The 17,001-nt window shown below is 43.4% G+C and overlaps 1 annotated feature.

Moving 5' to 3' along the window:
- Positions 3,766–3,963: a silencer, noted in NCBI's record as "fragment chr2:207232447-207232644 (GRCh37/hg19 assembly coordinates)". NCBI's record gives its function as "represses an EF-1alpha promoter that drives an FKBP-Casp9 reporter gene in an ReSE screen in phorbol 12-myristate 13-acetate-treated (for megakaryocytic differentiation) K562 erythroleukemia cells {active_cell/tissue: K562(+PMA)}" and the evidence as "EXISTENCE:reporter gene assay evidence [ECO:0000049][PMID:32094911]".

The following is a 17,001-nucleotide window of genomic DNA, read 5'->3' as shown; positions in this document are numbered from 1 at the left end:
TGGAAGTTCTAGCCATAGTAATTAAGCAAGAAAAAGAAATAAAAAGCATCTAAATTGGAAAGCAAGAAGTCAAATTATCTTCATCCACAGATGATAGTAATCCTTAATATCAGTACTATGCTAAGCCATACTGGAGCCTGTGACAAAAAGAAAAGTCAGTGATACTGATCCTATTTTTATTTTAAAATTTGATGCTTTGTTTGTCATTGGATGTTTGCATTCATTTTTATTTTTAAAATACTGCATTAAAGTACGATTTCTTTTGAGTAATGAGTTTTTTCGTGCTCCCTTATATTTTGGATTCAGGATGAGTGCCTCACTTGCTTGACCCCAGCCTGGGTCTTATTTAATACTCAGCATGACTATGTAGTAGTCTTAGTCATACCTGAAGATTATGTCATTTGCTTATGAGAATGGGAGGAAAATCTTACATCTATCGATCCTTTTCCAATCCATCTGGAGACTTTTTCCCATCTAGGACCTTTGCACTTGCTTGTCTTTAAGTCTGAATTACTCTTCACCTCTTCACGTAGTTGGCTGCCTCTCCTCCTTCTCAAATCAAGTGTCTTCTCAGAAAAACCTTCACCAAACCACTTCTAAAATAGGTCTCCTTTATTATTTTCAACCACAGAATCCTATTTGTATATTCCAAAGCACTTAAAAATTTGTACGCATGAACTTGTTTGCTGACCTCTTTATCATGTGTTTCCCCCATTATGCTATACACTCCATGAGGGCAAGGACACTATCTGTCTTGTTCACCATTATGTCACCATCACCTAGCAGAGAGCCTAGCACATGGTAGGTTCTCAGTGTATATTCATTGAATGGATGAAGAAGCTAGGGAAACATAGAAACACAGATAGGTTGGGGACCTTCGTGAGCAAGAAGGAAGCTTTTGTTCTGCTTCATGCTGAACATCTGGAATGCCACCACCTGGTCAATTGCCCACCATCCATCAGGGACACAAGCTCCTCAAAGTAAATCAAGTGGTGAGCATAGTTTGGGAAATGTGACCTGGATGAGATTCAGTTATAGTTGAAGGCTTGGCTGGTGGTTACAAGAGAAAGTGCTAGTCAGGGAAGAAGCTGTATGGGGAGGAGGGTTCTTGGGCCGGGGTAAATGGAAGTCATAACCAAATCTCAAGGAGTTTACACAATGTCAAATCACACTAGGCAATAGCTTTAGCTTTGAATGCTTTCAGGCCTGGCATGAACGAGGTACAGTAAGGAGCCAGAAGGCACTGTATGAACCAAGGACTCCCCTCCTCTCGATGCTACAAGGTTATATAAGCAAATACACGAAGAGACATATTTTGTCAAATGCTCTTTCTGCATCCATTTAGATGATCATAGGGGAGGAGAAGAAGGGTAAAAACTGAAAGACCAAAGACCCAAAAGATGATTTAAATCATTGCACTGGGCTAAATTTGTTTTTTTTCCTTCCTCCTGCCTTGCAAGAAATTGTAAAATAGACAACTTATGTTTTGGAAAACTAAAATATCTAATTTTCTTAACAGATTCAAGTGACAGTGTAAGAACATTAAAAGATTTCACAGCAGGTGCATGAAAGAATCCTGGTGGACTATGGTTTGGGAAACCAAATCATAAACCATGGGTCTATATGGCTTATTTAAATGCTATTCATTACTGCCTTCTTGTCTGGTTTTAGGATGACTGACTTATAGGTCCCTAGAGCTGGGAGAAACTTGGTTATCAGCCAGGTTTGTTCTGCCCATGCACAGCAAGTCAATCACTGAGAAGAAGAGTTTTGCAAAAGAGAAAGAGTTTATTTACAAGGCAGCTAAGCAAGGAGGCAGGAAAAGAGGTCTCAAATCTACTTCCCCAAAAATAGGGCTTGAGGGTTCTTATGGGATAGAAATCTGGGTAGTCCAATGTATGGGTAAAGGTGATTGACAGGTAGTAAAGGTGAGGTAATTGGGGTTTCTGTGCAAATGTAATTGAGCTACATGCTTTTCACAGGATACATGTGCAGAAAATGGTGGCATTATATTGATCTGAGGTGAAAGTTTTGGCCCTCTGACATCAAAATGTCACTCTATAGGCACCTGCACAGGCCCAGCTGAAGGGTCAGTGGTCTCAACCAGCTTCAACTGAACAAGAGCTGCCCCATAGTTCCTGAAAAACAACGTTAAACACCCGTTACTATAATGACCCACAGTCAGAGATGTTATCTGTAAGGAAGCTAGTGGGAGTTTTAAGATCAACTAGAAGTAAGTGATTAAAAGCAAGCAAAGCAGGTTAGTGTTGCTGGGCTTAATCAGCTTAGCCCTTAGTTTCACTTTAGTGCTGATGTATTTCATCCTTCCTCATTTCACAAATGAGGAAACAGATCTTGTGATTTGTTCATCCCAATTTGATTCCTTTAAGAAGCCCATCCCCACCTAAGCAAGACATATTAGAATTCATTTGAAAGAAATCCTCCTCCAGGTTACATGGATTCCCCCTGCCTTTCACCTGCCCTGCACCAGGCTCTCAGTTTCTGTTAATTCTTCATGCAGCCCCTGCATCTGATGCGTAACAGTGCAGGATCTCCCTCTTCAGTGTGCTCTGACTGCAGAGCCTGCTCCATTTCTAAGCAGTTGCTCTTGCTTCAGCTCTGTGGTGATGTAATCTTATGAACAGCTTTCTAGGTAATCTTCCCCCTGGTTTGATCTGGCCCCCTGGACCTCACACCAGTATACTGACCAGTAGGCTACCTTCTCAGGTCTGTCTTGACCTTGGCCATGAGAATAGATTTTTAAAAAATGTTTATACCTCTTGATTTCTTCAACTAAGATTGTGTATTTCTTGAAACAAAGATTATTAATCTTCATTTTCTTCCCCACACTACCTAATACAGTTCCTGGTGATAAAAATATTAGTTAATTGATTTAATTTATTCCCTGACCACCAATACAGCCCTCACATTATATTCTGAGTGAGCAGAGTAGGCAGCTGCTGGTGTGATATAAATTTAGAGTTTAGGAAAGCTCTCCCAGCCCAAGGACTATTTCCCTCTGCCAGGATACCTAAAATAACCACATTACTCACTCCTTTGAGTCAAGGCCTTGAAAATTCTTGTTAAAATGCAAATGTCATCTGGGAGGGATAAATTGAAGCTATCAATGCCTATTAATAACATAGAATATTATTAGCTTAGCAGAGAATAAGAAAGATCTAGAATATAGAAGGGCAGGCTTAAGAAAGCCCCCAAATTTAGGACCCAGTGAAAACAAGAATAGCATTTTGGCAATAGGTGGATGCATACTGAAAGAAACAAGGATCTCAGAAAACTAAAATAAGATGAGAGTAAAAAAGGACCTGTTATAGCACAAAAAAAAAGATTAATAATAACAGCTAATTTTTTTTACAGAGATGGGGTCCCCCTATGCGGTCCAGGCTAGAATGCAATGGCTATTCACAGACATAATCATAGCGCACTACAACCTTGAACTCTTAGGCTCAAGCATTCCTCCTGCCTCAGCCTCCCGAGTAGCTGAGACTACAGGTCCGTACCCAAATAACAGCTAATATTTTAAAGTACCTACTCTATGCCAGATAGTGGTCTGGGTGCTTTGCATGTATTTCTTCACTTTTCGTTTTTTCATATGAGATAGACATAATTATTCGTCACTTTCAGGTGAAGAAGCCAAGGTAGAGAGACATTTATTGATTACGGCCGGGCGCGGCAGCTCATGCCTGTAATCACAGCACTTTGGGAGGCTGAGGCAGGTGGATCGCTTGAGGTCAGGAGTTCTAGACAAGCCTGGCCGGCATGGCAAAACCCTGTCTCTACTAAATATAAAAATTAATTGGACGTGGTGGCCCACACGTGTAATCCCAGTTACTTGGGAGGCTGAGGCACAAGGATCACTTGGACCCTGGAGGCAGAGCTTGCAGTGAGCCAAGATCCTGCCACTGCACTCCAGCCTGGATGACACAGTGAGACTCTGTCCACACCACCCCCCTGCCACCCCCAAAAAACAAAATCAAGACATTGATTTGTCCAATGTTAGAAAGCTAGTAAGGGTGTGTACAGATGGAATTTGGACAAGCTGTCTGGTTCCAGGATCTCTTTGTTGAACCTCTGTACCACAGGGTCACTGTGTTTGGTTGTTGCTTTCATTAATATGGTCCTGATTTTAATCACAGAAAGGTGCTGTTCACTCATCTCAGTCTCCCTTATCTACATTCGAGTAGTCTCCCAGTCCTAAGGACTCTATCTTTCAGTGTGTCTATTCCTTTCCATTTCTCCTACAACCTAGCTCAAGTTCCCTTTATTTTTCTAGAAAGCAATCGCTGCATGCCAGGCACCATGATATCTTATCTCATTTAAGCTTTCAATGAAATACTAATAATTTCTACATGAAGAAACTGAGGCACAGGAAGGTCAGTCACCTGCCCCACTTCCCAAAGTCACTCTATAAATATTACTCTTGGGATTTGCACCCCAGAGTCTGACTTCAGAGCCCATACTCATATTCACCATGTGATCTAACTACCTGGCTATCCTAAGAGCTTCCTACCTTGCCTCCCTGTTGCTGGTCTTTGTTTTGCCCCATCCCCACACCACAAACAATAAAGTCTACTTTGTTACTTTGTCCACACTGACTCCTAATCTGTCATTCAAGGCTATGGATGCTGAGACATCCACCTCATGCCACTCCAGACATAAGTACCTACAGAAAAGTCACTGATACATTTGATTACATTAAAAAAAATGTTGGCCAGGCACAGTGGCTCACACCTGTAACCCTAGCACTTTGGGAGGCCAAGGGGGGTGGATCACCTGAGGTCAGGAGTTTGAGACCAGCCTGGCTAACATGGTGAAACCCCTGTCTCTACTAAAAATATAAAAATTAGCCCAGCATAGTGATGCACGCCTGTAATCCCAGCTACTCAGGAGGCTGACACGGGAGAATCGCTTGAACCCATTTCACTCCAGCCTGGGTGACAGAGCGAGACTCCATCTCAAAAAAAAAAAAAAAGTGACATAGGAGGGAAAACAGGCAATTTAGAGGCTTAAAGCCAATGAAAAACGTTTGAACTTAATCATAGTTGAAGAAATACCAGGCTGGGCATGATGGCTTACACCTGCAATTCCAGCACTTTGGAAGGCCAAGGCAGGAGAATCACTAGAGTCCAGGAGTTCGAGACCAGCCTGGGCGACTTAGTGAGTCTCCATCTCTACAAAATACTTAAAAATTAGCCTGGCACAGCAGTGTGCACCTGTGGTCCAAGCTACTTGGGAGACTGAGATGGGAGGATCACTCGGGCTCAGGAGGTTGAGGCTGCAGTAAGCCACCCTGGGCAACACAGCAAGACCCTGTCTCAAAAAGGATGGAAGGAAGGAAGGGAGGGAGGGAGGGAGGGAGGGAAGGAAGGGAGGGAAAGAAAGAAGAAAGAAAGAGAGAAAGAAAGAGAAGAAAGGAAGAGAAAGAAAAAGAAAGGGAGGAAGGAAGGAAGGGAGGGAGGGAAAGGAGGGAAAGAAAGAGAAGAGGGAAAGAGAGAGAAAAAGAGAGAATGGGAGGAAGGGAGGAAGGGAGGGAGGAAGGAAAAGAAAGAGAGGGAGAAAGAAAGAAAGGCAGAAAGAAGAAAGAAAGAAAGAAAAAGAAAGAAAGAAGAAAGAAAGAAAGAAAGAAAGAAAGAAAGAAAGAAAGAAAGAAAGAAAGAGAAAGAAAGAAAGAGAAAGAAAGAAAGAAAGGGCGGGAAGGTGGTTTAAATTTTTTACTTTTTATTTTGAGACGGAGTTTCACTCTGTCACCCAGGCTGGAGTGCAGTGGTGTGATCTCCGCTAACTGCAACCTCCACCTCCCGGGTTTAATCGATTCTCCTTTCTCATCCTCCCGAGTAGCTGGGATTACAGGTATGCACCACCACAGCTGGCTAATTTTTGTATTTTTAGTAGAGATGGGGTTTCACCATGTTGGCCAAGCTGGTCTCAAACTCCTGACCTCAAATAATCCACACACCTCGCCTTCCAAAGTGCTGGGATTACAGGCAGGAGCCACGGCACCTGGCCTGACATGGTATTATTTCTTACCTATTGGTTTGGACAAAATTTTTAAGATTGATACCTAGTCTTGGAGAGAGTGGAAAAAGGGGTCTTTATAGACTATAATTTGGAAAGTAAATTAGTGCAGCTTTTTTGTAGGGCCATTTAAGATTATTTACCAAAATGTAAAAAGCACATACCATTTGACTGAACATTTCTATAACAAAAAAATGTCTTCTATGGACATAGTTAAACAAGAATAGCTGCTCTAGGGTGTTCACTGTAGCAATTTTTGGTAAGAAACCCCAATTACTGGTAAGTGGGTCATAGAAAATAAATTGTGATGTCATGAATACATTTCCAAAGATTATCTATGCTAAACTGCAATGGTCCCCAAATTAGGTTATAATCACCAAGAAAATATTACACCTAATATTTAATATATATTTATGCATTTTAACTTACCTTTCTTAAATATACTTTTATGTATGTTTTAAAGTGTACATGATAGATTAATGTAGTGGTGTAGGTATATGATTTATAAATAAACATACATATGTTGGCATTAAATGACAAAAAGCGTTTGTTGTTAGGAATGCAGCAATTCAAATTTGTGCTGGAGATTGATATACAGGGTAAAGATCAAATGCCGTAGCATGTCACCCATACAAGGCCTTCAGCAACAGGGCTTTCAATTACCCTACTTCTCTCACCTCCTTTTCCACTCCTTTTTCTCTTCCCCAACCCAAGGCAGCATATGGCCCAGGAAACCAATTTACTCACGGGTTCTTAGTTATGTGTGTCTCTTGTGCTCCTACATGTTTTGCTGGGTGTACCAAGAATTCAAGGCCTTGACTAATCTTTACCAGGGCCATTTCTCAGGGCTATGTCTGAAGCAAGCAGCCTTCAGGGATGAGGCAATGTCTCCCTCTGGGACAAAGAGCAAGGATGTGGGGCCCCACTCAGAACCCTGGAGTTGGTATAAAGATTATTTTAAGTTGAAAACATTAGAGATTCAATAGATGCAGAAAGCCTTGTTGGAATGTCCCTTATCTGACTAAAAGCAGCAACTTCTAGGAAATGAGGCTACCATAAACTCCCTCTTCGGGGTGGGTCTTACCACCAGAAAAAAAGGCCAAGAGCAAATCTACCATAAGTACTCTTTCCACAGGAGTTATATGGCCATGGAGAAGATGGAAAAGACCACTAGCACCCACATAAACAAACTTTATCACCAGCTTTCTTATCTCCCAATTTGTTGCCCAGAAACCAATCTGTTTTTACCATGGAAGCCCTTTCTCCTCCCTCCTTTTCTTTAAGTTAGGTATATGCACCTCTAACTTTAACCACTTAATGAAGCTAGCTACTTTTTTGGTTAATTCCCATATGCATACAAATAAAACCCTTTTTCCTCCTGTTAATCTGTCTTTTGTCAGATTAACTTGCAGGCCCTCATTTAAAGAAATTAAGAGGATAGAGGAAAATTTTTCTCTCTCTGACAATGCGCATGTTGCTTGCCATGATATAGATAATATAGCCCTTTGTAACTTACCCAGGAGTCTCATATCTTCTGCCAACATCCATGAAACCATAACAAACTCCGTAAATAGGGTGTAAGTAGATTAAAGATAAATCTTAGACTCAACAATGGAGCATTTTCCTCCCTTCTATTACACTGCCCACAATTCCCTTAGCTTGAAATACGTTTTCTCCAGTCTTTGCTTCTTTGTGACTTCTTTTTTTACTTTCTTTTATGGATAATATAGTGTTTAAATCCATTTGTTTCCTACTGACTTCAAAATTATACTTTATATATTTATTCTCAGATGAATCACCCTTAGGTTATGCATAGGTTTCCCTCTGAAAAGTTTCATTAGTATCTCCTTACTTCTCTCAAACTACAAAGACGTCAGAATGCTTTAACACAAATCATATGTCCACTTTTTCCATGTTATCTATTGTCAGTGAAAAGAATCAAACTCTGTAAAATATCTAAAGAAGTTTATTCTTAGCAAAATATAAGTGACCATGGCCCAAGAGGTCCTAAGAACATGTCCCCATTGTGGTTAAGTTACAGTGCTTGGTTTTACGTGTTTTAGGGAGACCTAAGACATCAACCAATAAGTGTAAAGTACACATAGGTTTGGTCTGCAAAGGTGGGACAATTAGAAGCAGTGGGGCTTACAGGTCATTGGTGGATTCAAAGATTTTCTGATTGGCAATTGGTGGAAAGAGTTATTATCTGAAGACCCAGATTCGATAGATAGGAGTGTCTGGGTTAAGATAAGGGGTTGTAGAGACCAAGGTTCTTGGTAATGTAGAGGAAGCCTGCAAGTAGAAGGCTTCAGAGAGAATAGATAGTAAATGTCTCTCATCAGACCTTAAAAGATGCCAGATTCTTGGTTAAATCTCTTCTGGCTCAGAAAAAGACCTGAAAAGGGAAGAGGATTCTTTACAGAATATAAATTTCCCCCACAACAGGCAGCTTTGCAGGGCCATTTCAAAATACTTCAAAGAAATATATTCCACTGCACTCCAGCCTGGGTGACAGAGCAAGACTCCGTCTCAAAAAAAAAAAAAGAAATATATTTTGATGTAAAATACTTAGATACTTTCAGGGCCTGCTCCCTGTCATGTGATGCTTTACTAGAGTCAGGTTGGAATTTGATATCTTATTGCTACAAATAATCTATTTTGTCTTAAGATCTCTGTTTTAATGTTAATGCTGATCAGTTGTGCCTGAATTCCAGAGGGAGGAGAGTTGTGATGAGGCCTGTCCAGAACACTCTTACCATTATGACCTGAAATTGTGTTTTTTGTTTTGTTTTTTGTTTCTTTATGTTTCTTTCAAAACCTCCCTGGCTGAGAGGAGGGGTCCATTTAGTTGGATGGGGAGCTTAGAATTTTATTTTTTGGTTTATATATTGTTGTCTTTTATTTTAATTTTACCTCATTTTATTTCCCTCCCCTTTTATTCATTTTTTAAATTGTTTTGTTTTGTTTTTGCTAAAAAACAATTATTCAGATTCACCCCATGCTTACCAAATGTTTTACTCATCATTACTTCATGCATCCCAATCCTTCTTTCTAGGTTTAATCTCTTTCTTGTATTGAAGTATATCCTTTAATAGTTCTTTCAGCAATGGCCTGTAATTGGTAAATTATTTCAGCTACTTCATCTAAAACACCCTTATTTCATCCTCACTCTTTGGAGACCATTATAGCAAACGTTTTTAAAACTTTAGTATGCACAAAAATAATCTGGGGAAGTTTGTTAAATGCAGTTTCTCAGGTCCCTTTGAGTTCTATTTTAGTAGTTTTGGAAGGAAGGGGCCAGGAATCTACCTTTTCTACTAACTCTTCAAGTAATTCCGATGTAACTATGTCAAGCCTACACTTTGAGAAGAAATTAGGCTATAGACAGAGATAGCCATGGAAAAGATTTTTTGTTTTTTTACATTTTTAAATAAAAGTAATACATGCTCATTTAAGACATTTTTAGGACAATAGAGAAATAGGGAAGAAAAAGTCACTTAATTCTATCCAAATACAATTACTGCCAGTATTATGAAATAGAATTGATCCTCACCATGCAGAGGATCTGCAAATGCAGATTCTATATTTGCAAATTCTGCCTACCCCTAAAATTTATTTGTAACCCAAAAATCAAAATTTGTGGTCATTCATGGACATGCAGACAGCAATGAAAAGTTTGAGTCATCTCCCCAACCTGCGGATGCTCCTAACTGATATCAAAGAAGGTCCTGCTCTGCCTTCTTGTTTCAGCTCCCATATAGATGTGATCAGAGGATGCAGAAGGTAGTGGGGTGGGGCAGAGTAGTTCAAGAAGCTCTAGCTCTGGGGCCAGTAGGACAGGGGCAGCCCATGCTGACATTTATTGCAACAGCCTTAGGCAAGTCTCTTAACACTTTTGAACCTCATTTTTTTTCTTTGTAAAATAAAGAAAATAAAATCTACCAAGATGACTTGTTTTTAGGATTTAAGATTATAATCTATGTGAGATATGTGATATATGTGTGTGTGTATATCTATGTGAGATATATAGAAACACGCATGACTCATATAGAAACAATGACTCAGTATTCACTAATTCAGTGTTCACAGACTTTATGGAACATAACTATCATCATGAGAATCAACCATATTTCCTTCTAGACTTTTTAATATGTGTAAATTTTTTGCAATGTTGCTGTTGAGATTTATATGATGCATTTATAAGGTTAGCTTCTCCCACTCATGATCATCTTCCTCTAGTGTGGTGGTTTCAACCTGGCTGCACATTAGAGTCACCTGGGAAGCTTTAGAAAACATTGATGCCAGCCAGGCATGGTAGCTCACGCCTGTAATCCCAGCACTTTGGGAGGCCAAGGTGGGTGGATCACCTGAGGTTGGGAGTTCAAGACCAGCCTGGCCAGCATGGTGAAACCCTGTCTGTACTAAAAATACAAAAATTAGCCAGGGATGGTGACAGGCGCCTGTAATCCCAGCTACTCAGGAAGCTGAGGCAGGAGAATCGCTTGAATCCGGGAGGCAGAGGTTGCAGTGAGCCAAGATCACGCCATTGCACTCCAGCCTGGGCAACAGAGCGAGACTCCATCTCAAAAATAAATAAATAAATAAATAAATAAATAAATAAATAAATAAATAAATAGAAAACATTGATGCCCAGACCCCATCCACAGACATTCAGATTCAATTGTTACAAGGCTGGTCCCAGGCATTAGCTGCATTTAAGAGCTCCAGATTGTTCTAATGAACAACCTGAGGTCAAATCTCTGTTTAATCTATTTGGAAAGGAAGCCCCTGGTCTCAGTGCACTTTGGAGTCATCCATTTGGCAGCCCCCTCTCCCTATAGTGTCCTGCTCCCCGTCTCCCTATGGTGTCCTTCTCCCCCACTCCCTGCTCTGTTCTTGCCATAGCTCTTTCTTCTTCTTGTCAGTGCCTGGAACTCAGGCCTACTGTCCTTCCCAGGGCAATGCTGCCATTTGTGCCACTGATCTGGTAGAAGGGTGAGGTAGGAAAGGCCCTACAGTGCCTTTACTAACTCACCTCTTAGTCTCCTCACAACAGTGTCCCACAAGGCTGGAAGAGAATAGCAGGCTTTACTGGGAGATTGGAGGCAATGAAAGGAGACTGCAGAGCAAAATGAAAACTGCCAATCAGGCACCAAAAGTGATTGCTTCAATCGTCTAAGGAAAAATCACCACCACCACCCAAAAAATGTTCACCCAGACCCCTGCCTCCTGCCCTCTTCAGTCCTTATCAATCCATAGGACACGCCCTTAGTAGGATGTTTCCCAAAATATGAGTTTCTGAGTCTAGAATAACATTCCATAAACAATGGAAAGGGATCTCTCTACCATTGTGAGATAAAGATATACTTCTGTTTTTCTTCCTGACAGTTCAGCAGGTAACCACTGAATCAAATGCACACACACACACACACGCGCGCATGCACAGAGAGAGAGAGAGAGGGAGAGAAAGAGATAGAGAAAGAGAGAGAAATTCACAGATAAAGCACATATCATGGATGTAGAGAAACATTTTCCTCAGTGTGCGTTAACATAGCTCCCATATATATTGAAGATGATCTTTTACTTTATTATTCCAGTAACTTCAGCCTGGCCACCCCACAGCTATTACTTAAACTCCTGCTTAGAAATCCTTCCTAGAGGCCTGTTAGTGTTTAATTGTCCCGTTTATGCATCTTTTTAAAGCATCACAGCCACATGCCTCAATGGCCATGCTTTGGGTGCCACAAAGAAATAGCAAAACATTCATAAAATCTACCCAGTCCAATGTCCTGAAGGATTTCCCTTTTGTTTTCTTCTAGTAGTTTTATAGTTTGAGGTCCTACCTTTAAATCTTTCATCCATTTTGAGGTAGTTTTTCTATATGATGAGAGATAGAGGTCTAGTTTTATTCTTCTGCATATGGATATCCAATTTTCCCAACTCCATTTATTGAAGAGGCTATCCTTTCCCCAGTGTATATTATCAGCACCTTTGTCAAAAACTGGTTGGCTGTAAATATGTGGATTTATTTCAGAGTTCTTTATTCTGTTCCACTGGTCTATGTGTATGTTTTTCTACCAATACTATGCTGTTATGGTTACTATAGCTTTGTAGTATTATAGATTTTGATGTTAGATAGTGTGATGCCTCCATCTTTGTTCTTTTTACTCAGGGTTTCTTTGGCTACTTGGGGTCTTTTGTGGTTCCACACAAATTTGAGAATTGTTTTTTCTATTTCTATGAAAAATGTCATCAGTATTTTGATAGGGACTGTGTTGAATCTGTAGATTGCTTTTGGTAGTATGGTCATTTCAAAAATATTAACACTTCTAGTCCATGAACATAGGATGTATTTCCATTTTTTGTGTGGCTTTTTCAATATCTTTCATCAGTGTTTTGTAGTTTTCATTGTAGAGATCTTTTGCATCCTTGGTTAAACTTATTCCTAGGTAAAATTTTTGTAGTGGGGACAATTTGACTTTCTCTTTTCCCATTTGGATGTCCTTTGTTTCTTTCTCTTGCTCCAGCTAGGATTTCCAGTAGTGTGTTGAATGAGAGTGGTGAAATTGGGTATTCTTGTCTTGTTCCATTTCCTAAAGAAAAAGACTTCAGTTTTTCCCCATTCAGTATGATGTTAGCTATAGGTTTGTCATATATGGACTTTATTATGTTTAGGTATGTTCCTTCTATGCCCAGTTTGTTGAGGACTTTTATCATGAAGTGATGCTGAATTTTATCTAATGCTTTTGCTGTGTCTATTGAGATGCTCATGTGGATTTTGTCCTTAATTCTGTTTATGTGAGGTATCATGTTTATTGATTTGCATATATTGAACCATCCTTGCATCCCTGGGATAAATCCCACTTATCCTCACGTATTATCTTGTTGATGTGCTGTTGGATTGCATTTGCTGGCATTTTGTTGAGGATTTTTTACATCTATGTTCATCAGGGATATTGGCCAGTTGTTTTCTTTTTTTGTCATGTCCATGTCTGGTTTTGGTATCAGGGTAATGCTGGTCTCATAGATCAGGGGGTTTAGAATAATTCCCTCCTTTTCAATTTTTTGGAATACTTTGAGAAAAATTGGTGTTAGTTCTTCTTTAAAGATTTGGTAGAAGTCAGCGTGAAGTCACCTGGTCCTAGGCTTTTCTTGATTGGGAGACTTTTTACACTACTAGTGGGAACCTAAATTATGAGAGTCATTACAGAAAACAGTATGGAGATTCCTTAAAAAGCTAAAAATAGAACTACCATAGGATCCAGCAATCCCACTATTGGGTATTTATCCAAAGAAAACGAAATCAGTATATTGAAGGGATCTATGCACCCCCATGTTTACTGCAACATTTACAATAGACAAGATGTGGAATCAACCTGTGTCCATCAACAGATAAATGGATAAAAAAATGGTATATATACACAATGGAATACTATTCAGCCATAAAAAAGAATAAAAGCCTATCATTTGTAGCAACACGAATGATCTGGGAGGACATTCTGTTAAGGGAAATAAATCACGCATAGACAGACAAATACCACATGTCTTCACTCATATACAAGAGCTAAAAAAGTTGTTCTCACCCATATGTAGGACCTTAAAAAGTTGTGCTCGTGACAGCTGAGAAGTGGTTATATGGCTTGGCAGTGAAATGGATTCCGGAGCCACACTGCCCAGGTTCCCAAGTCCATGCTTCACCATGGTCACCAAAGTCACCAAGCTTTGTGACTTTGGGAAAGCCACTGAACCTTTTAAATTCCCCATGAGAGGCCGGGTGCGGTAGTTCACGCCTGTAATCCCAGCACTTTGAGAGGCCAAGGCAGGTGGATCACTTGAGGTCAGGAGTTCGAGACCAGCCTGACCAACATGGCAAAATCCTGTCACTACTAAAAATACAAAAATTAGCTCCCTCTCCCTCTCCCTCTCCCAGTCTCCCTCTGAACTGTCCTGCTGCCATCTCGGCTCACTGCAACCTCCCTGCCTGATTCTCCTGCCTCAGCCTGCCAAGTGCCTGCCATTGCAGGCGCGCGCCGCCACGCCTGACGGGTTTTCGTATTTTTTTGGTGGAGACGGGGTTTCACTGTGTTGGCCGGGCTGGTCTCCAGCTCCTAACCACGGGTGATCCGCCAGCCTCGGCCTCCCGAGGTGCCGGGATTGCAGACGGAGTCTCGTTAACTCAGTGCTCAATGGTGCCCAGGCTGGAGTGCAGTGGCGTGATCTCGGCTACAACCTCCACCTCCCAGCCGCCTGCCTTGGCCCCCCAAAGTGCCGAGATTGCAGCCTCTGCCCGGCCGCCACCCCGTCTGGGAAGTGAGGTGCGTCTCTGTCTGGCCGCCCATCGTCTGGGATGTGAGGAGCCCCTCTGCCTGGCTGCCCAGTCTGGAAAGTGAGGAGCGTCTCTGCCCGGCCGCCATCCCACCTAGGAAGTGAGGAGCGTCTCTGCCCTGCCGCCCATCGTCTGAGATGTGGGGAGCACCTCTGCCCCGCCGCCCCATCTGGGAGGTGAGGAGCGTCTCTGCCCGGCCGCCCGTCTGAGAAGTGAGGAGACCCTCGGCCTGGCAACCACCCCATCTGAGAAGTGAGGAGCCCCTCCGCCCGGCTGCCACCCTGTCTGGGAACTGAGGAGCGTCTCTGCCCGGCAGCCACCCCGTCCGGGAGGTGAGGGGCGCCTCTGCCCCGCCGCCCCTACTGGGAAGTGAGGAGCCCCTCAGCCCGGCCGGCCGCCCCGTCCGGGAGGGAGGTGGGGGAGTCAGCCCCCGGCCCGGCCAGCCGCCCCGTCCGGGAGGGAGGTGGGGGGTCAGCCCCCCACCCAGCCAGCCACCCCGTCCGGGAGGTGAGGGGCACCTCTGCCCCGCCGCCCCTACTGGGAAGTGAGGAGCCCCTCTGCCCGGCCAGCCGCCCCGTCCGGGAGGGAGGTGGGGGGGTCAGCCCCCCGCCCGGCGAGACGCCCCGTCCGGGAGGGAGGTGGGGGGTCAGCCCCCTGCCCGGCCAGCCGCCCCGTCCAGGAGGTGAGGGGCGCCTCTGCCCGGCCGCCCCTACTGGGAAGTGAGGAGCCCCTCTGCCCGGCCAGCCGCCCCGTCCGGGAGGGAGGTGGGGGGGTCAGCCCCCGGCCCGGCCAGCCGCCCCGTCCTGGAGGGAGGTGGGGGAGTCAGCCCCCGGCCCGGCCAGCCGCCCCGTCCGGGAGGGAGGTGGGGGGTCAGCCCCCCACCCAGCCAGCCACCCCGTCCGGGAGGTGACGGGCACCTCTGCCCCGCCGCCCCTACTGGGAAGTGAGGAGCCCCTCTGCCCGGCCAGCCGCCCCGTCCGGGAGGGAGGTGGGGGAGTCAGCCCCCCGCCCGGCCAGCCGCCCCGTCCGGGAGGGAGGTGGGGGGGGTCAGCCCCCCGCCTGGCCAGCCGCCCCGTCCGGGAGGGAGGTGGGGGGGTCAGCCCCCCACCCGGCGAGACGCCCCGTCCGGGAGGGAGGTGGGGGGTCAGCCCCCTGCCCGGCCAGCCGCCCCGTCCGGGAGGTGAGGGGCGCCTCTGCCCGGCCGCCCCTACTGGGAAGTGAGGAGCCCCTCTGCCCGGCCACCACCCCGTCTGGGAGGTGTACCCAACAGCTCATTGAGAACGGGCCATGATGACAATGGCGGTTTTGTGGAATAGAAAAGGGGGAAAGGTGGGGAAAAGATTGAGAAATCGGATGGTTGCCGTGTCTGTGTAGAAAGAAGTAGACATGGGAGACTTTTCATTTTGTTCTGTACTAAGAAAAATTCTTCTGCCTTGGGATCCTGTTGATCTATGACCTTACCCCCAACCCTGTGCTCTCTGAAACATGTGCTGTGTCCACTCAGGGTTAAATGGATTAAGGGCGGTGCAAGATGTGCTTTGTTAAACAGATGCTTGAAGGCAGCATGCTCATTAAGAGTCATCACCATTCCCTAATCTCAAGTACCCAGGGACACACACACTCTGCCTAGGAAAACCAGAGACCTTTGTTCACTTGTTTATCTGCTGACCTTCCCTCCACTATTGTCCTATGACCCTGCCAAATCCCCCTCTGCGAGAAACACCCAAGAATGATCAATAAAAAAAAAAAAAAAAAAAAAAAAAAAAAAAAAAGTTGTTCTCGTGTAAGTATAGAGTAGAATAGTGGTTACTAGAGGCTAGGAAGAAGAGAGGGAGGAAGGATAAAAGAGGTTGGTTAATGGATACCATATTACAGCTAGATAGGAGGAATAAGTTCTAGTAGTCTATAACACTGTAGGGTGAATATAGTTAACAACAATTTATTGTATATTTTTAAACAGCTAGAAGAGGATTTTTAATGGTTTCCAATACAAATAAATGATAACTGTTTGAGGTGACGGATATGTTAATTACCCTGAATTGATCATAACATATTGTATATATCAATATGATACACAATGTGTATCAAAATATTACACTGTCCCCATAAATATGTACAATTATTACATGTTGATTAAAAAATAATAATTTTTAGGCCAGACACAGTGGCTCACGCCTGTAATCCCAGCACTTTGGGAGGCTGAAACAGGCGGATCACTTGAGGTCAGGAGTTCAAGACCAGCCTAGCAAACATAGTGAAAGCCTGTCTCTACTAAAAATACAAAAACTAGTTGGTGTTGTGGCAGGCGCCTGTAATACCAGCTACTCGGGAGGCTGAGGCAGAAGAATCACTTGAACCTGAGAGGCAGAGGTTGCAGGGAGCTGAGATTGCTCCACTGCACTCCAGCCTGCGAGACAGAGCAAGACTGTCAAAAAAAAAAAAAGTTAAAGAAATATCAAAGCATTGAAAGCACTTCTTTCTTTCCTGTTACAGTAAATCATTTTCTTAGGGCATTTCAAAGACTAGCTTTTGTCAGTAGTAGAAGGCAATATGAGGATGTATTATCCTCCCATCTAGGCTACTTCTCTACCTCGCCTGAGGGTAAAGTGATGGAGATGAGAGGAGAAAAATGAAGGCTTCAA

Source organism: Homo sapiens, chromosome 2 (genome assembly GCF_000001405.40).
Source record: "Homo sapiens chromosome 2, GRCh38.p14 Primary Assembly".
Classification (NCBI taxonomy): Eukaryota; Metazoa; Chordata; class Mammalia; order Primates; family Hominidae; genus Homo; species Homo sapiens.
Note: the sequence above shows the minus strand (reverse complement) of the source record. Positions and strands in the feature narration are given on the sequence as shown.